Genomic DNA, 26,891 nt, shown 5'->3' with positions numbered 1-26,891 from the left:
AGAAGAAAATATGCCGTCACCTCTGATGTGTCTGCAGTACACACCATGCCTGTATAAAAAGCACACACTTTTCAATCTCACTCCATTCTTGTACACCAGGGGCTGGTCCTGATTTAACCCCACGTGGGACACGCAGTGTCCCCCAGGCCTATGTGTCTATTAGCAGCACTTGGCAGCCAGCAGCAGCTCAACCTGCCTTTAACTGAAAAGGAAGTGGGGACAGGAATAGAACAGATGCTCGTTCTTCTTCCCACTCTCTGGGGTCTTTAATGGTATGCTGGTCACAAGGCCAAGCCCTGCCAGACCTGATACGGTACAAAGACACCTCCCCAGGCGCCTCAGCCTGGGAGCTCAGGGGAAATGGAGCTAGGCTGGGACAAGCCACTGATTTGAACAAAAAGACAGGCCTGTGAAGAGGTGAGGCATGGATTTTATGTTAGATTCTATGCAGGGCTCATTAGTGGGGAAAAGGTATGTTCCGAGTCAGGGATCTGCTGCTGCTGCTGCAGTGAGGGGACACCCGTGGCCTCTGCCCAGCCATCCCCAAAGCCAGGTTTCTAGAGAAGAGAAGCACCACTTCTCTACAAACTCACAAATTATCTAATAAACATTTTCTGACATTATAGGGAGTTATTTTATTTTACTCAAAACTTTCTGTGGAAAAGTATAATGTTCTATGTTTCAGGGAGAGGAACTTTGAAAACACCTAAGAAGCTACTTTTCCTGGTGATGGTGAAAATTGAGACCTTCTAACATCATCTTTCTTTTTATTTAATAAGCATTTTACGTAGTGTTTATATTGTGTAAGATCTGCTTCTAAGCACCCTATATTTATTAGCTTAATCATCACAAAATCTGGTACTATAATTAATGATCCCCATTTTATAAGTGGAGAAACTGAGGAACGGGGGCTATATGTAGGCCACCAAAATCATGCACACAACTAGAATGTGTAGGAGTCAGGGTTTGAACCTAGGAAGTCTAACCTCAGAATCCATTCTCTTAATCACTGTGCCACAACAACGTCAGCTCCATTCATTCACTCATTCATTCAGGCAACATTTGCTAGGTACCTACCCTCTGCCAAATACACCGATGTGTGTGGAGTGACACATGATGAACAAAACACATCCCTAGAGAATCAGTCATAGTGAAGCGACAAAGAGGTTTAACAAAATACAGACAGGTAGCCAGTGATTAACAAAACGATGAGTAAACACACTTCAGAGGGAGCACAGAGCACTAACAGTTAGGAGTGAAGTCCTAACTCCCAACCTTCAGAATACACCCAGGACTTAACGTCTCAGCCCTTGCACTGCTTGCCTGTCCTGCTCATCTGGAATATTGCTGACAACAGCTCCTTGGTGGCGTCTGCTTTTGCTTTTGTCTTCCTGTCCTCTATTTCCCAGACAGTATCCAGAGTGATCCTTTTAAAATTAAGTTAGAGTTCTGAAAACCCCCAGTGGCTTCCACCACATTCAGAATGCAAGCCAAAGCCATCGCCGTGGGCTGCAGGCCCTGGATGACCTTGCCTCTGCCCTGTTCTCACTCCTCCCGTCACTCCCTGGGGTCCCGAGCTCCAGCCTCTGGCCTCTCTGCCAGGCCCACCCACTTGAGAGCTGTGTGTCACTTCTCCCTGGTGTGTTCTCACTGCGGGTGCCAGCATGGTGTCTCCCTCACTTCCTCCAGGCAGGTCTCTACTCAAACGTCACCTCCTCAGAGAGGCTTCCTCTGGCCACTCTCTTTAAAAGACAAAATTGACAAATGGGATCTAATTAAAATAAAGAGCTTCTGCACAGCAAAAGAAACTACCATCAGAGTGAACAGGCAACCTACAAAATGGGAGAAAATTTTCGCAACCTACTCATCTGACAAAGGGCTAATATCCAGAATCTACAATGAACTCCAACAAATTTACAAGAAAAAAACAAACAACCCCATCAAAAAGTGGGCGAAGGACATGAACAGACACTTCTCAAAAGAAGACATTTATGCAGCCAAAAAACACATGAAAAAATGCTCATCATCACTGGCCATCAGAGAAATGCAAATCAAAACCACAATGAGATACCATCTCACACCAGTTAGAATGGCAGTCATTAAAGAGTCAGGAAACAACAGGTGCTGGAGAGGATGTGGAGAAACAGGAACACTTTTACACTGTTGGTGGGACTGTAAACTAGTTCAACCATTGTGGAAGTCAGTGTGGCGATTCCTCAGGGATCTAGAACTAGAAATACCATTTGACCCAGCCATCCCATTACTGGGTATATACCCAAATGACTATAAATCATGCTGCTATAAAGACACATGCACACGTATGTTTATTGCGGCATTATTCACAATAGCAAAGACTTGGAATAAACCCAAATGTCCAACAATGATAGACTGGATTAAGAAAATGTGGCACATATACACCATGGAATACTATGCAGCCATAAAAAATGATGAGTTCATGTCCTTTGTAGGGACATGGATGAAATTGGAAATCATCATTCTCAGTAAACTATCGCAAGAACAAAAAACCAAACACTGCATATTCTCACTCATAGGTGGGAATTGAACAATGAGATCACATGGACACAGGAAGGGGAATATCACACTCTGGGGACTGTGGTGGGGTGGGGGGCGGGGGAAGGGATAGCGTTGGGAGATATACCTAATGCTAGATGACGAGTTAGTGGGTGCAGCGCACCAGCACGGCACATGTATACATATGTAACTAACCTGCACAATGTGCACATGTACCCTAAAACTTAAAGTATAATAAAAAAATAAATAAATAAAAAATAAAGAACTATCTGAGACTGGGTAATTTATAAAGAAAAAAGGTTTAATTGGCTCATGGTTCACAGGCTGTGCAGGAAGTATGGCTGAGGAGGTCTCAGGAAACTTACAATCATGAAAAAAAAATAAAATAAAATAAAATAAAATAGTGCCCGCATTACTAATCCTGCTTAACAACACTGTTATGCTGTTGAATTTTTCTTTCTGGGACTTAGTAACACCTGATATATTAAATATCTATTTTTTAAATTATTTTTTAATTTTTTAAATCTCTGTTTTCAGAGGTTGAATGGGGGGGTACAAGTGCAGTTTTGTTACATGGCTGTGTTGCACAGTGATAAAGCCTGGGCTTTTAGTGTAACCAGCATCCAAATAGTGAACGTGGTACCCCTTAAGTCATTTCTCATCCCTCACCTCCCTCCCACCCTCCCCGTTTCGAAGTCTCTAATGTCTATTATTTCACTTTCTGTGTCCATGTATACACATTATTTAGCTTCCACTTAATATCTGTTTCTTTAGGGGTTTCTTGTCTGCCTGTAAGTTCCCACTATAAGTTCCATCAGGGCGGAGTCTATATTTTATTCACTGTGTTATCAGGAGACCCTGGAACAGTGCCTGAACATATTAGATTCTCAATAAATCGTTGTTGAATAATTGATTGAATGAGTGAATGAATTAATGAATTGCTTTAAGACATCAAGGAAGGGTTCCCTGGAAGTGGACAGTTGAACTGAGTGCTGCAGGATAAGGAAGAGTTTGCAAGGCAAACAAGAGGGAGGAAAAGCATTCCAGACAGAGGGGAAATGCATGTGCAAGATTTCAAGGCAAGAAAACAGATTGGCTTAGTATGATTGTTTTACTCTCTTTTGCATTAGGCGCGTTGGAGACTCTGACTACAGTGATGGAGAAGAGGACTTTTACTACACTGAGATCAAGCTCAACACAGACTCAGTGGCAGACGGGCTGAGCAGCCTGGCCCCGGTCTCACCTTCCCAGTCCCTGGCTTCACCTCCTACTTTCCCCATCCCAGATTCAAGCCGAACAGAAACTCCTTGTGCCAAAACGGAGACTAAGTTGATGACGCCGTTGAGCCGCTCAGCTCCCACCACCCTCTACCTCGTGCACACTGACCATGCTTACCAGGTGACTTGCAGGGGACTGTGAGAGCAATCACTTTGACCTTGACCAAAACCAGGGGCCATCTGGCCTATGAGTAAAAGACAACTCAGTGGAAAAACAGCATCACACACGGCAGCCCGGTAGCTTTGATTTTTCTCCCTTTAAAGCCTAAGATCTCACACAGATAGGGTCCTATGGTCTAGTCTCAGATTGCCCAATGCTGCCTGTGGATTCGATCCCGTAGAGATTGTTATGATGATAAAAATCCCTTGGGCACAGTGGCTCACGCCTGTAATCCCAAACACTCTGGGAGGCTGAGGCGGGCGGATCACCTGAGGTCGGGAGTTCGAGACCAGCCTGACCAACATGGTGAAACCCCATCTCTACTAAAAATACAAAATTAGCTGGGTGTGGTGGCACATGCCTGTAATCCCAGCTACTGAGGAGGCTGAGGCAGGAGAATCACTTGAACCCAGGAGGCAGAGGTTGCGGTGAGCCGAGATCCCACCATTGCACTCCAGCCTGGGCAACAAGAAAAACTCTGTCTCAAAAAAAAAAAAAAAAAATCCCTAATGTTATCTGGGCATGGTGGCGTGTGCCTGTAGTCCCAGCTACTTGGGAGGCTGAGGCGGGAGAATTGCTTGAACCCGAGAGACGGAGGTTGCAGTGAGCCAAGATCGCACCACTGTACTCCAGCCTGGCGACAGAGCGAGACTCTGTTTCAAAAACAAAAAAAATCCCTAATGTTGCAAAGCCCTCAAAATGGTGCCTGGCACATTACATAAGTATCTGTTTAAAAAAAAAATAAGGCCGGGCACAGTGGCTCACACCTGTAATCCCAGAACTTTGGGAGGCTGAGGCAAGTGGATTGCTTGAACTCAGGAGTTCGAGACCAGCGTGGGCAACATGGTGAGACCCCCATATCTACAAAAAATACAAAAATTAGCCAGGCATGGTGGTGCGTACCTGTAGTCCCAGCTACTTGGGAGGCTGAGGTGTGGGAGGATCACCTGAGCCCAGGGAGTTTGAGGCTGCAGTGAGCTGTGATCATGGCACTGCACTCCAGCCTGGGTGACAGAGTAAGACCCTGTCTCAAAAAAATAAATAAAATGTAAGCATTGGAAAGCTTTGGCACAGTGGCAGAATCACACTCCAAATCCGGGACTTCATGCCCTGCCTTCTAAATGGATAATTAAGCATTTCAGATTAGAGTAGTCGTTCTCAATGTTCCCCAAATCAACAGTGCCAGCATCACCTGGGAACTTGTTAGAAATGAAAATTCTTGGGACCACCCCTCTTCCACACCCTCCTCTGTGCCCCCCACCAACCCTGCATTCTGTTTTAACAGGCCCTCCAGGGAATCCTGAGTCATGCTAAAGTCTGAGAAGACCTTAGGGACAAATCCTGCAAATTTAGGACATGGGTAAAACTCCCTTTTTTCCTGCCAGAAGTTACTTTTTTTTTTTTTTTTTGAGACAGGGTCTCTATCTTTCTCTCAGGCTGGAGTGCAATTCACTGCAGCCTCGAACTCCTGGGCTCAAGCAATCCTCCTGCCTCAGCTTCCCAAGCAGCTGGGACTACAGGTGTGCACTACCACATCCAGCTAATTTTTTAAATTTTTTGTAGAGACGAGCTCTCACTACATTGCCCAGGCTGGTCTCGAACTCCTGTCTTCAAGCAGTCCTCCCATGTTGGCCTCCCAACATGCTAGGATTATAGGCTTGAGCCACCATGCCTGGCCATTAATTCTTTTAAATGTTGATTTGTTTTTATACAATGTTAATACATTCAAATTTTAAGAAAATATTTTTCACATAATTCTCAACTACCTTATTCAACTTTTTAAAATCTCCTTTACATACTTGTAATTATGTTCTCCCACCCTTGTTTTATAAAAACTTTTCATGTAACTAAATAATATCCAATTAAATTGAAACACCAAATTGTTTTAATCATTCTTATTGTTAGGTATTTACTTTTTAATCTATCCTGTTTTTTCGTCATTAATAACTCCACTGTAAACATCTCTGTGCCTGCTGTGTTTTGTTTTTTGTTTAAATTCTCAGAAGAATAATTATTGAGTCCGAGGATGTAATATGAGGGAACAGTTTATGGCTCTTACTATGTATTGCCAGAATGCTTTCCAGTGGTACCAAGTACAAAGCCACTGCCACTAGCAAATATATTTGTAATTAGAAAATTACACCTATAGAGGAAAAATTTAGCCACTTATTTAGCAGACTTAAACTCAAGAGTAATTGAATAGAGCTAATATTTGAATTAGTTAGTGTAATAAATTTCATTCCTGACTCTTATTATGTTGGTCAAAACGAATAATTCATTCATCTTCATTTATCACTGTTTCACTTAGGTCAGAAATCCTGGGTACTAACTTAGTTAAATCATTTTGCTCATCTATATAATGAGAGAGTTGGAACACACACTAGTTGATCTACAAGGTCCTTCCCAAAGCATAAACTTAGAAATATTGAGACTTTTCTGTTTATAGAAATTATAAATGTTCAGCATAGAAAATATTAAACACAGTAAAGAAAGAAAATTCATCCCTAATTCCAAACCTTAGTTAATATTTTTTGTATGTACTTCAAGACTTTGTTCTGTGTTTATACATTTGCAGTTTTTAAAAGGGATCTGTTGCAGAACTGTTTTTACTGTATTTTATTTTTTCTATTTAATATATCATGAACATTTTCCCATGCCAATGAATCTTCTTCAACAACAGTATTTTAAAAATTGATGCCTAATATTTATACGTATTTGTGGGGTACACAGAACATTTTGTTATATGCATAGGATGTGTAACAGTCAAGTCAGGGTATTTTGAATATTAATCGCCTTGTGTATTTATCATTTCTGTGTGTTGGGAACATTTCCAGTCCTCTCTTCTAGGTATTTTGAAATATAAAATACATTGTTGTTAGCTATAGCCATCCTACTCTGCTATCAAACATTAGTACTCATTCTTTCTATCTAACTGTATGTTTGTACCTACTAACCAACATCTCTCCCTACCTTGTCCCATCACACCCTTCCCCATCTCCTGTAACTATCATTTTATTCTCTACCTCCATGACATCAATTATTGTATTTCCCACATATGAGTGAGAACATGTGATGTTTATCTTCAAGTGCCTAGCTTATTTCACTTACATAGTGACCTCTAGTTCCATTCATATGGCTGAAAATGACAGGATATCATTCTTTTTAATGGCTGAATAGTACTCCATTGTGTTCTTACCACATTTTGACACTTCATCTGTTGATGGACACTTAGGTTGATTCCATATTATCTTTGCTATTGTGAATAGTGCTGCAATAAACATGAGAGTGCAGGTGTCCCTTTGATAGGCTGATTTCCTTTCCTTTAGATAAATACCCAGTAGTGAGATTGCTGGATTATATGGTAGTTCTGTTTTTAGATTTTGAGAAATCTCCATACTGTTTTCCATAATAGGTGTATTAATTTACATTCTTACCAACAGTATATAAAAGATCCCTTTTCTCTGCTTCCTCACCAGCATCTGTTATTTTTTGTCTTTTTAATAATAGCCAATCTAACTAGGGTGAGACGATACTTCATTGTGGTTTTGATACACATTTTTCTGATATTAGTGACGTTGAGCATTTTTTCATGTACCTATTGGTCATTTGTATGTGTGCTTTTGAAAAATTTTTATTCAGGTCCTTTGCCCACTTTTTAATGGAATTATTTGGTTTTTGCTATTGAGTTGTTTGAATTCATTGTATATTCTGGATAGTAGTCTCTTGTCAGATGAATAGTTTGTGGATATTTTCTCACATTCAACAGGTTGCTCTTCACGCTGTTGATTGTTTCTTGTGCCGTGCAGAAGCTTTTTAGTTTAATATAGTCACATTTGTCTATTTTGTTTGTTTGTTTGTTTCTTGTGCTTTTGAAGTCTTAGCCATAAAAATATTTGCCTGGGCCCATGTCCTAGAGTGTTTTTCTTGTGTTTTCTTCCAGTAGTTTTATAGTTTAGGATCTTACATTTAAGTTTTTAATCCATTTTGAGTGGATGTTTGTAAATGACAAGAGCTAGGGGTCTAGTTTCATGTTTCTGCACGTGGATATCCAGTTTTCCCAGCAGCATTTATTGAAGAGGATGTCCTTTCCCCAGTGTATGTTCTCATCGCCTTGGTCAAAAATCAGTTGGTTGTAAATATGTGGACTTATTTCTTGGTTCCCTGTTTTGCTCCATTGGTATATGTGTCTGTTTTTATGCCATTTTAACAACATTTTGAATTACTCTGTAGGTATATCATGATTTATTTACCTTTTTCCCTATTACTGGGCATTTGTGTTATTTCCAGGTTTTTTTTTTTTTTTTTGAGACAAGATTTCACTCTGTTGTCAGGCTGGAGTGCAGTGGCATGATCATAGTTCACTGCAACCTCGAACTCCTGGGCTCACATAATCTTCCTGCCTCCATCTCCAAAGTAGCTAGAACTACAGATACACTCCACCACCCCTGGCTAATTTTTTTTAATTTTAGTAGAGACGAAGTCTCACTGTGTTGCCCTCGCTGGTCTCAAACTCTGGGCTCAAGCGATCCTCCTGCTTCTGACTCTTAAGTGCTGGGATTACAGGCATGAGCCACCACGCCCAGCCCCAATTGTTTTTTATAATATATAGTTGTGCAAGGAACATTCTTGCGTACATTTCTTTAGAATGAATGCCTAGAGTGGAATAGCTAACACAGAGAATGCTAAGAATTTTTATATGTATTGTCAAATTACCTTCCAAGAACATTGTACTAGTTCACACCCACCCTCACAGTATAGCAGGGTGTATTCCCCAATTTTATAGTGAAGAATTCTACCTCACAGGTATCCTAAAATAGGTATATGTACATATAATAAAATTTCTTTTCAGAAATCAACAGTCAAAAACCATCTCTTTTTATACCTTAGATAGCTTGCTTAGGTATATATACAAAGTTTATTTCTGGCTACTCCCTTTAACCTTGTTTAATCTCTTCCTATTAGATAATTAGTCCAAGTTATTAATATAGCTGAGACCATTTCTGAGGTCCTCCTTTGGTAATAAGAGCTTAAAGCTCCGAAGGAAAATATTCCTTCATAACAGCTTTCTCTGTTTTTTATTTGACAGGCCACACCCCCTGTGACCATTCCAGGATCGGCCAAGTTCACCCCCAATGGCAGCAGCTTCAGCATTTCCTGGCAATCTCCTCCGGTCACTTTCACAGGCATCCCAGTAAGTAGAAAAACGAAAAAGCCAAAAATCTGGTCAAAGCCAATGTAGACTAAATTTAGCGAACAAATAGTAGAGGCATGCAAGAAAAATACAAACATCAGAATGCCAGAAGTACTATATTTCTTAAATGATATTTGTAAACTCATCAGCAGATATCACTTCTTTTCGAAAAGGTGTTTTGACTGGCATTTCAGAAAACTATAAGAGAGTTTCAACTGTTCATAAACAACTTGTTGGAAATATATCAAGATTTTTTGTGTGTTGGTAGTGTGTTTGTATGTTTCCAAAAGACTGTAAAATTAATAGCTGAACTCAGATCTTATATGGAAAAAATGGTGTTTATCATTATAAGTAACTATAAAATTTATTACTTAGGAAGTGTTCTGTACGTATGTCATTTTGAAGGCTCAAAAAATACATCAAAATCATTTTTTCTTTCAGAGTCTGAATAATCCATGCTGATGGATAATCTGAAACTAAATGAGTGCTAAAATATGCAATCAGACTTAAGTAGTACATAAGAATTGATTTGACATATTAAATGATTCCTGTCTGATAAATCACTGTGAATTAACTTGATTCCTAACCATTCATTTAAAAAATATATTGGATCTTTTATAGTTTATCACAGAACAGCCACATGCATGCACACTGTTGATGCTCACAGTGGTGTATAACTCCTGATAAGGTTCAGGAAGTGGCTTATGATAACAGATATTAACCTTATTTTCTCTTCTCCACCCGTCTCCCCAAGGACCTCACAAAAGCTTCTTATTGTCAACCACTGGCATCTCCCGGAGGTTTCCAGCAAAGTCTAACGCCTTCTGTGGAACTGATAAAAATGAAAGTGGCTGAATGAATTGTGCTGTGCTCTGTTGATGAATATTTATTAAATTCCATAGAGGAATAGCCAAGAATAAAAAGCATACTGCTAGAGGCAATTTGGGAAATGGTGGCTTCCAGAAAAGACTCTGGGAATGTGATTTGTAAACAACACCATGGGTCTGAAGTCATTTTTAAAGTTGTATTTTCATTGAATAGTGGTAACTTCTGGTAGCTCTGCAAGAGTGACCTTGTTAGTAGACGTTAGAAGAGGGCAGCTTAGACGTGTTGGTATTAGTTTTGCTTCTGGCAAGAACACTGATCCACTGATGTAGGTGTCAGGGGTTAACAATCTGTTTGGGGACTTTTTTTTTTTTTTGGTAGACATAAAAAGACCCAGAGTGGCTCTTGATACATTTTTGAGACAGCCACTCTGTATTAACCTAAAATGGCAGCCACAGTTACAGAATTATTGAGACCATCTTTTCTGCATCCTATTAATTCCTGCCTTTGACTTGGGAAGAATTTTCAATGATGTATGGGAAGCATACACCATGTTGCTCATCTGGTACTATAGCATGTAGATGGAACAGCCCAGTTCAAACCTCTTTCAGACTACCTCTGTGGCCAAGCAAACTGGAATGTTTTTCCCCTTTGCTTTTCTAACTAAATTATCTTCTGAAGTATAGGGAAATCACTCTGAGGGGCTCTTTACTAGCTCCATGTCCTCCATGGTTCTTATGTGTCTTACACACTAGGATACCAGCCAGGATACCTTATATCACTCGTTTTTCAACAATAGAATGTTAAAACTCTGCTATGGACACTGTGTATTTCTACCCTCATCTCAGTGCCCTTGATTTTTTACAGAATCCCTCATTTCACTCTGTGTTGATTACCTGGGACATTCTAGACAAAAGCTTTGACAGAAAGTATATATATGATATATAAAACATACCATATATACGATATATAAAACATTCCGTATATATGATATATAAAACATACCATAGCTGGGTTAAGTAGGTATTCCACTAAAATCCTATGTGAGCTTTTTTTTTTTTTTTTTCTTGAAACAGGGTCTCAGTCCATGACCCAGGCTTAGAGTGCAGTGGTGCCATCACGGCTCACTGCAGCCTCAACCTCCCTGGGCTCATCTTCCCCACTTCAGCCTCCTGAGTAGCTGGGACTACAGAAGCACACCATCACACCTGGCTAATTTTTGTATTTTTAGTAGATACGGGGGTTTCCCATGTTGCCCAGGCTGGTCTTGAACTCCTGAGCTCAAGCAATCTGCCCACCTCAGCCTCCCAAAGTGCTGGGATTACAGGCTTGAGCCACTGCGCCCAGCTGAGAGCTTCTAATTTATTCTTTCACCAGAGAATTCCCAATTGTGCTGATTGTGTAACCTGTTTCAGCAAAGACTTTAGACTGATTTTAGCAGTCAAGCTTGCCATTCCTATTTAAAGATAAAGTAAGGGTGGGGTGGAATTTTCAAAGGTTTTTGTTTTACCCTAGAAAGACAAGAAGGCTACAACTAAGAATGTTCTTTTTGTTGCTAAACTCTCTGGCCATGCTCTAAAAAAAACAAGCAGGTGCTGCTGTCCTCCTCCTCCTCCTTCTCCTGGTGGGCTAGCTCTCATAACAGCCCACCCACACAGATGCAGGACTGTTGTACACCCACGGACAGCATGCCAGCAGCTGTCCCTGAATGCTCCAGGAGTGCCAGGCAAGCCACGTAGAATTTAAAAACGTGAATTCTTACCCTCTAAATTGGTGTAATAGGGTTTTCAGACCAAAGCTCTAAAAGTTGTAAGTTATAATGAATTTGTATTAGTGATGGCTTCAATTGTGTCCAAACTGAAGAACAGAGAAATATTCATGTGATAAAATGCTTTTCAAAAAAAAAATACCTTTATCCTTGTACTCTAAAATAAATACCCTGAGGTTGTCAACCCTGTTTAGAGTTCACTTTTCTCCCACATCTTTGAGACGTGGTATTGAAGAGGGATACTTTTGTACACTTCCTAGAAAGTGAGAAAAACCCCTTTCTGAAAAATCCCAAGGGTTGCAGGATTTTATTTATTCATTTGCCTATGCTAGATTTCCTGAACATTGGACTTTAATAAGTTCCCTGGGTAAGACCTCTTCCCGGAGGTGTGTAGCTGAGAAGGCTGAACTGCATATTTAACAAATGTAACTGGAAGTTCAGTCTTTTGTAGCCTAAGGCTGTGGGGAGAGGGGTAGGAAAGAGAACATCCTTAATTACAACTTTCTTTGACATGTTTTTCCCTAATGACCTGCCTTCTCTCCTAATTATCTCCATTTCTTTCTCTCTCTTTTCATGACAGAAAACTAAGAGCCGTTGGCCCCTTTATTAATCAGCTCAAGACTGCCATAAAATACCACAGACTTGGCAGCTTAAACAACAGAAATTTATTTTCTCACAGTTCTAGAGGCTAGAAGTCCAAATCAACGTGTCGGCCAATTCAGTTCTGGTGAAGACCCCTTCCTGCTTGTAGATGGCTGCCTTCTCACTGTGCATGCACAGTCGAGAGAGAAAGAGAGAGAGAGAGAAATCGAGAGAGAGAGCACAAGCACATGCCAGGGCACTGGCAAGCCAGGGAGAGCAAGCATGGAGGAATGCACCAGCCTCTGCTATCCCTTCTTAAAGGACACTAATCCTGTTGGGTCAGGGCCCCACCCTTATGACCTCCTTAAAGGCCCTATGTCCAAATACAACCACACTGGGGATTAGAGCTTTATCATATGAATTTGAGGGACACAAACATTCGATCTATAACAGCCCCTAGGAAAGCAAGTATAAGCTAGTCAACCTGCTATCCAAGTTCTAGGAGGCTTCAGGCTGTTGGGGAGGGTCTCCAAAGCTGAAATAGCAGTGCTTATTTGTCAAATGCTTAGCTGGTTTGAGGTTTCTTTTTTAATGCCTTGAGGGAAGATTCAGAATTATATGAGGTTAAAACCAAGCCAGAGGCCTTTTTTTCCTCCCTCTTAAGAGAAAAACTTACAAGAAAAGAAATTTCTCCTGCATACTTACAGAAGGGCACAGCATCTTTAGTGTGAGGCTTACTTGCAAATCCTGGCTCTGGCATTTGTGAACGCCATGTGATCCTTCTAAAGTAATATCCTCTACTCTAGTTCTACCTCTTAGAGTTGTGTCGTTCACACAGTGCCTGGCATGTAGCTGACAATGCAGATTTCCTACCATCATTGCTGCCTTTACTGTGTCTAAGCACTGTATAATGGGTCAGAGAAAGCGGCTCCTCCCTATTTAGGATTGATTCCTGTAACACAGATATACTCAACACATGGGAGAGATTAGTCACAATTTTTACAGACTATAATTTAAAATTCTTTTTTTTTTTATACTGGGAACTTTCCAAATACGTTTTGTTTTTGTTCTTTTTTTTAAATTAAAGTTTTAGGGTACATGTGCCCAACGTGCAGGTTTGTTACATATGTATACATGTGCCATGTTGGTGTGCTGCACCCATTAACTCTTCATTTAACATTAGATATGTCTCCTAATGCTATCCCTCCCCCGCCCCCCACAACAGGCCCTGGTGTGTGATGTTCCCCTTCCTGTGTCCATGTATTCTCATTGTTCAATTCCCATCTATGAGTGAGAACATGCAGCGTTTGGTTTTTTGTCTTTGCGATAGTTTGCTGAGAATGATGGTTTCCAGCTTCATCCATGTCCCTACAAAGGACATGAACTCATCATTTTTTATGGCTGCATAGTATTCCATGGTGTATATGTGCCACATTTTCTTAATCCAGTCTTTCATTGTTGGACATTTGGGTTGGTTCCAAGTCTTTGCTATTGTGAATAGTGTCCAAATAAACATACGTGTGCATGTGTCTTTATAGCAGCATGATTTATACTCCTTTGGGTATATACCCAGTAATGGGATGGCTGGGTCAAATGGTATTTCTAGTTCTAGATCCCTGAGGAATCGCTACACTGACTTCCACAATGGTTGAACTAGTTTACAGTCCCACCAACAGTGTAAAAGTGTTCCTGTTTCTCCACATCCTCTCCAGCACCTGTTGTTTCCTGACTTTTTAATGATCACCATTCTAACTGATGTGAGATGGTATCTCATTGTGGTTTTGATTTGCATTTCTCTGATGGCCAGTGATGATGAACATTTTTTCATGTGTCTTTTGGCCGCATAAATGTCTTCTTTTGAGAAGTGTCTGTTCATATCCTTCGCCCACTTTTTGATGGGGTTGTTTGTTTTTTTCTTGTAAATTTGTTGGAGTTCATTGTAGATTCTGGATATTAGCCCTTTGTCAGATGAGTAAATTGCAAAAATTTTCTCCCATTCTGTAGGTTGCCTGTTCACTCTGATGGTAGTTTCTTTTGCTGTGCAGAAGCTCTTTAGTTTAATTAGATCCCATTTGTCAATTTTGGCTTTTGTTGCCATTGCTTTTGGTGTTTTAGACATGAAGTCCTTGTCCATGCCTATGTCCTGAATGGTACTGCCTAGGTTTTCTTCTAGGGTTTTTATGGTTTTAGGTCTAACATTTAAGTCTTTAATCCATCTTGAATTAATTTTTGTATAAGGTGTAAGGAAGGGATCCAGTTTCAGCTTTCTACATATGGCTAGCCAGTTTTCCCAGCACCATTTATTAAATAGGGAATCCTTTCCCCATTTCTTGTTTTTGTCAGGTTTGTCAAAGATCAGATAATTGTAGATATGTGGCATTATTTCTGAGGGCTCCGTTCTGTTCCATTGGTCTATATCTCTGTTTTGGTACCATTACCATGCTATTTTGGTTACTGTAGCCTTGTAGTATAGTTTGAAGTCAGGTAGCGTGATGCCTCCAGCTTTGTTCTTTTGGCTTAGGATTGACTTGGCAATGCGGGCTCTTTTTTGGTTCCATATGAACTTTAAAGTAGTTTTTTCCGATTCGTGAAGAAAGTCATTGGTAGCTTGATGGGGATGACATTGAATCTATGAATTACCTTGGGCAGTATGGCCATTTTCACGATATTGATTCTTCCTATCCATGAGCATGGAATGTTCTTCCATTTGTTTGTATCCTCTTTTATTTCATTGAGCAGTGGTTTGTAGTTCTCCTTGAAGAGGTCCTTCGCATCCCTTGTAAGTTGGATTCCTAGGTATTTTATTCTCTTTGAAGCAATTGTGAATGGGAGTTCACTCATGATTTGGCTCTCTGTTTGTCTGTTATTGGTTTTAAGAATGCTTATAATTGGTTATAAGAATGCTTGTGATTTTTGCACATTGATTTTGTATCCTGAGACTTTGCTGAAGTTACTTATCAGCTTAAGGAGATTTTGGGCTGAGACTATGGGGTTTTCTAGATATACAATCATGTCATCTGCAAACAGGGGCAATTTGACTTCCTCTTTTCCTAATTGAATACCCTTTATTTCCTTCTCCTGCCTGATTGCCCTGGCCAGAACTTCCAACACTATGTTGAATAGGAGTGGTGAGAGAGGGCATCCCTGTCTTGTGCCAGTTTTCAAAGGGAATGCTTCCAGTTTTTGCCCATTCAGTATGATATTGGCTATGGGTTTGCCATAGATAGCTCTTATTATTTTGAGATATGTCCCATCAATACCTAATTTATTGAGAGTTTTTAGCATGAAGGGTTGTTGAATTTTGTCGAAGGCCTTTTCTGCATCTATTGAGATAATCATGTGGTTTTTGTCTTTGGTTCTGTTTATATGCTGGATTACGTTTATTGATTTGTGTATGTTGAACCAGCCTTGCATCCCAGGGATGAAGCCCACTTGATCATGGTGGATAAGCTTTTTGATGTGCTGCTGGATTTGGTTTGCCAGTATTTTATTAAGGATTTTTGCATCAATGTTCATCAGGGATATTGGTCTAAAATTCTCTTTTTTTGTTGTGTCTCTGCCAGGCTTTGGTATCAGGATGATGTTGGCCTCATAAAATGAGTTAGGGAGGATTTCCTCTTTTTCTGTTGATTGGAATAGTTTCAGAAGGAATGGTACCAGCTCCTCCTTGTACCTCTGGTAGAATTTGGCTGTGAATCCATCTGGTCCTGGACTTTTTTTGGTTGGTAAGCTATTAATGATTGCCTGAATTTCAGAGCCTATTATTGGTCTATTCAGAGATTCAACTTCTTCCTGGTTTAGTCTTGGGAGGGTGTGTGTGTCGAGGAATTTATCCATTTCTTCTAGATTTTCTAGTTTATTTGCATAGAGGTGTTTATAGTATTCTCTGATGGTAGTTTGTATTTCTGTGGGATCGGTGGTGATATCCCCTTTATCATTTTTTGTTGCGTCTATTTGATTCTTCTCTCTTTTCTTCTTTATTAGTCTTGCTAGCAGTCTATCAATTTTGTTGATCTTTTAAAAAAAACAGCTCCTGGATTCATTGATTTTTTGAAGGGTTTTTTGTGTCTCTATTTCTTTCAGTTCTGCTCTGATCTTAGTTATTTCTTGCCTTCTGCTAGCTTTTGAATGTGTTTGCTCTTGCTTCTCTAGTTCTTTTAATTGTGATGTTAGGGTGTCAATTTTAGATCTTTCCTGCTTTCTCTTGTGGGCATTTAGTGCTATAAATTTCCCTCTACACACTGCTTTGAATGTGACCCAGAGATTCTGGTATGTTGTGTCTTTGTTCTCATTGGTTTCAAAGAACATTTTTATTTCTGCCTTCATTTCGTGATGTACCCAGTAGTCATTCAGGAGCAGGTTGTTCAGTTTCCATGTAGTTGAGCGGTTTTGAGTGAGTTTCTTAATCCTGAGTTCTAGTTTGATTGCACTGTGGTCTGAGAGACAGTTTGTTATAATTTCTGTTCTTTTACATTTGCTGAGGAGTGCTTTACTTCCAACTATGTGGTCAATTTTGGAATAGGTGTGGTGTGGTGCTGAGAAGAATGTATATTCTGTTGATTTGGGGTGGAGAGTTCTGTAGATGTCTATTAGGTCCACTTGGTGCAGAGCTGAGTTCAGTTCCTGGATATCCTTGTAAATTTTCTGTCTCGTTGATCTGTCTAATGTTGACAGTGGGGTGTTAAAGTCTCCCATTATTATTGTGTGGGAGTCTAAGTCTCTTTGTAGGTCTCTAAGGACTTGCTTTATGAATCTGGCTGCTCCTGTATTGGGTGCATATATATTTAGGATAGTTAGCTCTTCTTCTTGAATTGATCCCTTCACCATTATGTAATGGCCTTCTTTGTCTCTTTTGATCTTTGTTGGTTTAAAGTCTGTTTTATCAGAGACCAGGGTTGCAACCCCTGCCTTTTTTTGTTTTCCATTTGCTTGGTAGATCTTTCTCCATCCCTTTATTTTGAGCCTATGTGTGTCTCTGCACATGAGATGGGTTTCCTGAATACAGCACACTGATGGGTCTTGACTCTTTATCCAATTTGCCAGTCTGTGTCTTTTAATTGGAGCATTTAGCCCATTTACATTTGAGGTTAATATTGTTATGTGTGAATTTGATCCTGTCATTATGATGTTAGCTGGTTGTTTTGCTCGTTACTTGATGCAGTTTCTTCCTAGCCTCGATGGTCTTTACAATTTGGCATGTTTTTGCAGTGGCTGGTACCAGTTGTTCCTTTCCATGTTTAGCACTTCCTTCAGGAGCTCTTTTAGGGCAGGCCTGGTGGTGACAAAATCTCTCAGCATTTGCTTGTCTGTAAAGTATTTTATTTCTCCTTCACTTATGAAGCTTAGTTTGGCTGAATATGAACTTCTGGGTTGAAAATTCTTTTCTTTAAGAATGTTGAATATTGGCCCCCACTCTCTTCTGGCTTGTATAGTTTCTGCTGAGAGATCAGCTGTTAGTCCGATGGGCTTCCCTTTGTGGGTAACCCAACCTTTCTCTCTGGCTGCCCTTAATATTTTTTCCTTCATTTCAGCTTTGGTGAATCTGACAATTATGTGTCTTGGAGTTGCTCTTCTCAAGGAGTATCTTTGTGGCATTCTCTGTATTTCCTGAATTTGAATATTGGCCTGCCTTGCTAGATTGGGGAAGTTCTCCTGGATAATATCCTGCAGAGTGTTTTCCAACTTGGTTCCATTCTCCCTGTCACTTTCGGGTACACCAGTCAGACATAGATTTGGTCTTTTCACATAGTCCCATATTTCTTGGAGGCTTTGTTCATTTCTTTTTATTCTTTTTTGTCTAAACTTCTCTTCTCACTTCCTTTCATTCATTTGATCTTCCATCACTGATACCCTTTCTTCCACTTGATCGAATCAGCTACTGAGGCTTGTGCATTCGTCACGTAGTTCTTGCGCCTTGGTTTTCAGTTCCAACAGGTCCTTTAAGGACTTCTCTGCATTGGTTATTCTGGTTAGCCATTCGTCTAAATTTTTTTCAATGTTTTTAACTTCTTTGCCATGGGTTCGAACTTCCTCCTTTAGCTCGGAGTAGTTTGATCGTCTGAAGCCTTCTTCTCTCAACTTGTCAAAGTCATTTTCCATCCAGCTTTGTTCCGTTGCTGGTGAGTAGCTGCGCTGCGTTCCTTTGGAGGAGGAGAGGCGCTCTGATTTTTAGAGTTTCCAGTTTTTCTGCTGTTTTTTCCCCATCTTTGTGGTTTTATCTACCTTTGGTCTTTGATGATGGTGATATACAGATGGGGTTTTGGTGTGGATGTCCTTTCTGTTTGTTAGTTTTCCTTCTAACAGTCAGGACCCTCAGCTGCAGGTCTGTTGGAGTTTGCTGGCGGTCCACTCCAGACCCTGTTTGCCTGGGTATCAGCAGCGGAGGCTGCAGAACAGTGGTTATTGGTGAACAGCAAATGTTGCTGCCTGATCGTTCCTCTGGAAGTTTTGTCTCAGAGAAGTACCCGGCCGTGTGAGGTGTCAGTCTGCCCCTACTGGGGGATGCCTCCCAGTTAGGCTACTCGGGGGTCATGGACCCACTTGAGGAGGCAGTCTGTCCGTCCTCAGATCTCCAGCTGCGTGCTGGGAGAATCACTGCTCTCTTCAAAGCTGTCAGACAGGGACATTTAAGTCTGCAAAGTTTTCTGCTGCCTTTTGTTTGGCTATGCCCTGCCCCCAGAGGTGGAGTCTACAGAGGCAGGCAGGCCTCCTTGAGCTGTGGTGGGCTCCACCCTGTTCGAGCTTCCTGGCTGCTTTGTTTACCTACTCAAGCCTCGGCAATGGCGGGTGCCCCTCCCCAGCCTCACTGCCACCTTGCAGTTTGATCTCAGACTGCTGTGGTAGCAATGAGTGAGGCTCCATGGGCGTAGGACCCTCCGAGCCAGGTGCAGGATATAATCTCCTGGTGTGCCGTTTGCTAAGACTGTTGGAAAAGCGCAGTATTAGGGTGGGAGAGACCCAATTTTCCAGGTGCTGTCTGTCACCCCTTTCTTTGACTAGGAAAGGGAATTCCCTGAGCCCTTGCGCTTCCCGGGTGAGGCGATGCCTCATCCTGCTTCGGCTCACACTCGGTGTGCTGCACCCACTGTCGTGCACCCACTATCTGACACTTCCCAGTGAGTTGAACCCGGTACCTCAGTTGGAAATGCAGAAATCACCCATCTTCTGCATCACTCATGCTGGGAGCTGTAGACTGGAGCTGTTCCTATTTGGCCATCTAATTTAAAATTCTTTAGACTCTTCTGAGGTCACACCTAACCAACAAACTATGTACATATAGCCCAATAATTTTATTTAGCTAGAAATATTATCATATTATACTGTCCAAGCACATTATATGCTTTATAAAACATGCTACAAAATAGAACTTGGAAATGGTTAAGAAATAAACAAATTGAAATGCAGAGACCACTAAGAGAGAGAGTATTTGCTTTATAGGGCTTTATTTTAGGGCACACATTATTTACATCAACGATATGGCAGGATGGAAGAGTGCAAAAAGCAGGGCTTTGACATCATTCGGAAGTGAGTTCCAAGGCCAGCTGTGTTCAAGTCAGACAATGGTGTTCAAACCCTGAGTCCATTTACTGTGTGGACTGGACAGTGCACTTAACTTCTCCATTTTCTCATCTATAAAATGGAAATTATGGCTATGATAGGGTTGTTGCGAAGATTAAAATAGATAACATATGGAAGACACTTAGCTTATATAGCAGGCTCTCAGCAAATTACTTCTGCTGCTACTTTTGCCTCTGGGATGTTCTGCAGGCCATTTCCCTGCTCAAAGCCTAAATTTCTCTATCTGTAAGATGTAGATATAGATTATTTATTTTGCAAGTTTTCTGTGAGAATTAAAAGAGATAATAGATAACCTACTTGCCTGTCTTTCACATTCGCAAGCACTGAATAAATGGTAGTTGACTGCCCCAGTTACTCCCTTGGTTTCTCCACCCTCATCCTCAACTAAAATAAGAAGCTGAAACATGACTGTCTTGCCATTAAAAGTCTGAAGAAAAAACTCACATGTCATATTGAGCCTCCTACTGAACTCAGCCACATATGGAAGTTTGAAGTGGGTCCTCGAAATGCATGTACTGAACTCCAGAGTTAAGAGAGCCATTAGCAGGAAGAAGGACTTTGGCGAGGGGTCATTCCTGCAGGAGGTCCATGTTGTGGTTTGCAAGTGTCCCCCAAAGTTCATGTGTTGGAAATATAATCCCCAGTGCAGCAGTGTTGAGAGGTGGAACCCTTAAGAGGTGATGGGGTCCAGAGGACTCTACTCTCATGAATGGATTAGTGTCATTATCAGGAGAGTGGGTTTGTTATAAAAACAAGCTCAGCCTTCTCTTAAGTGAACTGTTACCCTTCCACCCTTTGCCCTGGGATGACACAGCGAGAAGGCCGTTGTCACATGCCGGCCCCTCAACCTTGGACTTTCCAGCCTCCAGAACTTTAAAAAATAAATTTCTGCTTATTATAAATCATCCAGTCTCAGGTACTCTGTTATAGCAGCACAAAACCGCTGAAGACAATCCATGTCCCTCAAACCCTGTTCCTGGAATTTTCAAAAGCCTGTTCCTCATGCCTCCCCGACCCTGCTGCTTCTGTAACTTTCTCATCTCAGAAAGTGGCACCACTGTGCCTCCTGCCACTTGGGCCAGAACCTGGGATTCATCCTTGACTCCTCAATTCATCCTTGATTCATCTAGAGATGCAATTTTCTTTGTGCCCCATCCTAACCCACAAGTCCTAGGCTGTGCCTCTAAACAACAGGAATCCAGACCCTCCCCACCACTGCCGCCATACCTAGTCTAAACCACCAGTATGTCTTTGCCTGGTATACTGCAAAAGCCTCTTAACTCCAGGGCTCCTTTCCAGGCTGTCTGCTGTCCATTCTCCAAAGTGCCAAAGTGATCTGTTTAAAGCATTAATCAGATGTCTTACTTTTAAAAACACTCCAATGGCTTACTTATTGCCGTTAGAATAACATTCAGATCCCTTATTGCAGGTCAGAGGCATAGCTTGATACTTCCGTCTCCTCTCCTCCCACCCTCCACCTCCCACAAAGTGCCCACCCCTTTTTCTGCAGTGCCTTGTAGGTGAAAGGTAACCTCCTCAGGAAGCCTTCTCTTACCACTCAAGATAAATAAATGTCCTCTCCTTCTATTACACTTTAGCCTGTTATCCTATTTCATTTCTGTCAGCTACTTATCACTAAAATGATCTTGTGTGATTTCGTATTTATTGTCTGTCTTCTCACTAGAACGTAAGCTCCATGAGGGCAGAGAATTTGTTTTGTTCACAGCTATATCCTCAGAATCTGTAACAATGCCTGGTACATAGCAAGTACTTAATAAATATCTGTTGAATGAAGAGTATCCAATAATCTCATATCACTTCATGCAAAAGGGCTATGGCAACTTTGCATGATCTAGAAACTTCCACATTATCCGTGGCTGATGGGAGTAGTGTTACTGTCATGTCAACCAAACTTTTCCAGTTCTCTGACTAAATGAAGTACAGTGTTCTTGGGATTCTATAAGTTCTACAAGAATTGTTAATTTTTATGTTTATTTTCCTGATAATTTAAAACAATTCATATAAGCATATCAGAGATCATCTACAGTGACTGTAGATGTCTCAGGTATTCACTCCCTCTAGTTTGCTGTTATTCATCCTGTACAAAACCAAAGCCATTATGAGATGGGGTGAGGAGGATTCTGCTCTTGGAGGAAGCTGCGTATCTATACACATGAAATGAATGCACTGAACTCCAAAGCTTTTATTTTTAAAAACTCTGAATGTTACCTCTGCTGGCCCTTGCTCCACCCAACTTTAGCATGAAGACCAGTGGTATAGAATAGTTCAAACTCATGGCAACAATGGTTCCAAATGTTAGATTTTTACTTACCTGTATAATTTTTTTTTTTTTTTTTGAGATGTGTCTCACTCTGTTGCCCAGGCTAGAGTGCAACGGCACAATCTCGACTCACTGCTCCCTTGAACTCTCCACACTCAGGTGATCCTCCCACCTCAGCTGAGTAGCTGGGACTTTAGGTGCACATCACCAATCTGGCTAATTTGTGTATTTTTAGTAGAGATGGGGTTTCACCATGTTGCCCAGACTGGGCTCAAACTCCTGGACTCAAGTGATCCATTCACCTTGGCCTCCCAAAGTGCTAGGATTACAGGCATAAGCTACCACTCCTGGCCCTACCTGTATAATTTTTTAAATGTCTAAGTTTTGTGCTGCTATAACAGAATACCTTAGACTGGGTAATCTATAATGAACAGAAATTTACTGACTAACAACCTGGAGGCGGGGAAGTCCAACATCAACATGCCAGCCTCTGTTAGGGCCTTTATGCTGCATCATCACATGGCAGAAGGTGAGAGGGTGAGGGGGGCCAAACTGGCCCTTGCAGAACACTAATCCCACCCATGGGAGTGGAGCCCTCATAGCCTAATCACCTCTTAAGGGCCCCACCTCTTAATACTATTACAATGGCAAGTAAGTTTCAACATAAGTTTTGGAGGGGACAAACATTCAAGCCATAGCATTAAAATTAATGTCTGGGAAAATAACACTGATGATCTCTATTAGGCCATACTTGCATTGCTATAAAGAAATACCTGAGATAGGGTAAGTTATAAAGAAAAGAGGTTTAATTGGCTCTACAGGCTGTACAGGAAGCACAGTGGCATCTGCTTCTGGGGAGGCCTCAGGGAGCTTTTACTCATGGTGGAAGGTGAAGCAGGAGCAGGCACGTCATGTATGAAAGCAGGAATGGGCATAAAACAACCACAGTCTTATGTAAACTCAAGAGTGAGAGGTCACATATCACCAAGGGAATGGTCCAAGCTATTCATGAGGGATCCATCCCCATAATCCACACACCTCCCACCAGGCCCCACCTCCAGCATTGGGGATTACTTTTCAACATGAAATTCAGGCAGAGACACACATCCGAACTGTGTCATGTGCATTCCTTTACGTTGAAAGAGAAGAGAAAGTACTAATACCTGTACTAGAGAAAAGCAATTCTCTAAGGATGTTTGGGGAATGTTCCCATGACTTTTAAGTGACAATGCTATTCCTGTGACCACGTTGGCTCCTAGGTTTTTAAATTTATTAAATGTCTATCCTCCTACATATGGCAATACTGATTAATTAGTTGAAACATTCTTTTTCCGGGAGGTTGGCGGCGCGGGGCTGAAGGCTAGCAAACCGAGCGATCATGTCGCACAAACAAATTTACTATTTGGACAAATACGACGACGAGGAGTTTGAGTATCGACATGTCATGCTGCCCAAGGACATAGCCAAGCTGGTCCCTAAAACCCATTTGATGTCTGAATCTGAATGGAGGAATCTTGGCATTCAGCAGAGTCAGGGATGGGTCCATTATATGATCCATGAACCAGAACCTCACATCTTGCTGTTCCGGCACCCACTACCCGAGAAAACAAAGAAATGAAGCTGGCAAGCTGCTTTTCAGCCTCAAGCTTTACACAGCTGTCCTTACTTCCTAACATCTTTCAGATAACATTATTATGTTGCCTTCTTGCTTCTCACTTTGATATTTAAAAGATGTTCAATACACTGTTTGAATGTGCTGGTAACTGCTTTGCTTCTTGAGTAGAGCCACCACCACCATAGCCCAGCCAGATGAGTGCTCTGTGGACCCACAGCCTCAGCTGAGTGTGACCCCAGAAGCCACGATGTGTTCTGTATCCAGAACACACTTGGCAGATGGAGGAAGCATCTGAGTTTGAGACCATGGCTGTTACAGGGATCATGTAAACTTGCTGTTTTTGTTTTTTCCTGCCGGGTGTTGTATGTATGGTGACTTGCGGATTTATGTTTCAGTGTACTGGAAACTTTCCATTTTATTCAAGAAATCTGTTCATGTTAAAAGCCTTGGTTAAAGAGGAAGTTTTTATAATCTAAAAAAAAAAGAAACATTCTTTTTCCTTTGTTAAAAAAATTAATTTGTTGCAGCTTTTAAGAATTCCAGAAGCTGGGAAGATTACTTAGTGTTAGGAGACAGGTAATGCAAAGGGCTGAAGTGAGTAATCCAGGAGGGGCTGAGGACAGTAGGGGCCCTCCTCTATGACTGAGGGACAGAAAAGCAACAGGGTTAAACACAGGTCCTGGTGCCAGGGAGAGCTGCAGCACAGCCCTGGGTCTACCATCACACATGCCATGACCTTTGGCAAGTTACTTAACCTCCATCTGCCTTAGTCTCCTAATCTGTAAAATGGGAACAATAGTAATACTGCGTGGGGTCGTTGTGAAGACTAAAGCTGCTGTGAGTGTACCTGCACATAGTGAGCGCTCAGTAAGTGTTCGGTGGGTGGCATACGTTCTTGATTTGCTCAGACTCTCTGCCTCTTGCCTTTATTCCTTCCTGTTGGGACGTGAGAGTCTGCTGATGGGGTGTTTTTTACAAGAATCCATGTATTTAGTGGCAGTGATTGATCCACTAGAGCCAACAGAAGACCTAGACCTGCACTGTGTCATTGTCGCTTACTAGCTACGTAATGTTAAATAAATCTCTTAACCTCTCTAGGTATGTTTCATCCTCTAAAAAGGGAATCATGAGCCTTGCCCTACTTGACAGGGTTCATGAGGATCAAAAGAAATAGACAGGAATGTACTTTAAGATTTAAAATATTATTCAAGTGAAAATATGGTATTATGAGCCACTTGAAATGCATAGATATGAAGTAAAAAAATGTTTGAGATATTGGCTGTTGGTGGGTCTTCTCTGTTTGGGAATGCATTTTAATTCTGCCATGAGCAGCCCTCCTCCATTTAATGTGTGGTCTCTGTGAGGAAAGTATTTCATTTCATCTCTGCTTCTTTTTTTTTTTTTTTTTTTTTTTTTTTTGAGACAGGATCTCACTCTGTCACCCAGGCTGGAGTGCAGTGGCACAATCTCAGCTCACTGCAACCTCCGCCCCGGGGTTCAAGCAGTTCTCCTGCCTCAGCCTCCCAAGTAGCTGGGATTACAGGCACACAACCCCAACTTGGCTAATTTTTGTACTTTTTGGTACAGACGGGGTTTCACCATGTTGGCCAGGCTGATTGAACTCCTGACCACAAGTGATCCGCCCTCCTTGGCCTCCCAAAGTTCTGAGATTACAGGTATGAATCACCGTGCCTGGCCTCATCTCTGCTTCTAATGGTCAAGGATCAGTGTCCACACAGCAAAGGTTAACTAACTGCATGGGTGGAGAACCTGCCCCATCAACTTTCTTTTCCATGTATTCACCAGGTGTCACCCACACATCATCCGGTGGGCACAGGAGAGCAGAGACAGCATGCGCACACGGTCCTGTCCTCCCCACCCAGAGGCACAGTCAGCTTAAGGTACGACAGCTTAAAAAACTCCACACACCTCACCACAAGGGAATTAACTGTAAAACAGAACAGCAGAGAGAACCCTGAGAAATGATCTTCTATAAAATTTCTCCACAATTGACAAAACACCCTTTCTTTTTTTCCCATGGTTTTTACCATCCATTACCTATTAATGAAGATTTGTTGTTTCGGGGGGTAATGATTTACAATAAGGTTTTTGTTTTTTGTTTTTGTTTTTGTTTTACAGAATAGGTAATGGTGATTATTGGGTCTATTTGGAGCCATGTTGTATTAATCTCTATATTAAATGAACTATAAGATACAATTTTTAATGCAGATCAAGAGTGATCTCCCCAGAAGTTCCTTAACCAAAATACAATAGTCCCCTTTTATCCACAGTTTTACTTTTCTGTGGTTTCAGTTACCCAAAGTCAATTGTGGTCCAAAAATGTTAAATGGAGAATTCCAGAAATAAATGATTCATAAGTTTTAAATTGCACACCATTCTGAGTAGTGTGATGAAATTTCGTGCCATCCAGCTCAGTCCTGCCTGCGATGTATGTTATCCCTTTGTTCAGTGTATCTACACTGTCTACACTACTCGCCCATTAGATTGACTGTAACGAACTGTACTTGTGTTCAAGTAACCCTTCTTTTACTTAATAATGGACCCAAAGTGCAAGAGTGGTGAGGCTAGAATTCAGATATGCTAAAGACAAGCTATAAAGTGCTTCCTTTAAGTGAAAAGGTGAAAGTTTTCAACTTAACAAAGAAAGAAAAAAATTTTTATACTGAGATTGCGAAGATCGACAGTAAGAATGAATCTTCAATCCATGAAACTGTAAAGAAAGAAAAAGTCATGCATAATATATATATAGGGTTTGTACTATTTGCAGTTTGAGGCATCCACTGGAGGTCTTGGAACATATTCCCCACCCTTAGCAGGGACTGCTGTACTAGAAATTGAGAATGGTGGAAGCATTTGAAAGTACCTACTTAAAAACTTGAAAGAGCAATGTTGCTCTCTACTGGCATTTCTTGTGTTTACTTGTTTAATTCAGTTTTATGAAGATGCCCAAATGGACATGTCCACAAGTAGACAAATAGAAGCCTAAGGGATATGGTAGCAAATTTTAACAGTTGAGTGTAGTGGCTGTGAAAACAACCAGCACATATTAGAGTCTGAACCT

The 26,891-nt window shown here is 41.2% G+C and overlaps 1 protein-coding gene and 1 pseudogene across 4 annotated transcripts in view; both read left to right on the top strand.

The window, feature by feature from the left end:
• The window catches only part of ZNF704 (zinc finger protein 704), a 255,969-nt gene that overhangs the window by 215,675 nt on the left and 13,403 nt on the right, over positions 1–26,891 (top strand). For all 4 annotated transcript variants that reach the window (XR_928797.3, XM_017013725.2, NM_001033723.3 and 1 more), the window contains exons 6-8: positions 3,663–3,930; positions 9,056–9,160; positions 25,616–25,710. Coding sequence is in view for 3 of the 4 variants with exons in the window: in XM_017013725.2 (XP_016869214.1) it covers positions 3,663–3,930; positions 9,056–9,160; positions 25,616–25,710 (468 nt within the window). In the remaining variant the exon portion in view is untranslated. The remainder of the gene's footprint in view (positions 1–3,662; positions 3,931–9,055; positions 9,161–25,615; positions 25,711–26,891) is intronic.
• On the top strand, positions 23,529–24,284 carry CKS1BP7 (CDC28 protein kinase regulatory subunit 1B pseudogene 7; annotated as a pseudogene).

This window comes from Homo sapiens, chromosome 8 (assembly GCF_000001405.40).
Source record: "Homo sapiens chromosome 8, GRCh38.p14 Primary Assembly".
NCBI classification, from domain to species: Eukaryota; Metazoa; Chordata; class Mammalia; order Primates; family Hominidae; genus Homo; species Homo sapiens.
This window is presented reverse-complemented; position numbering and strand designations above follow the sequence as displayed.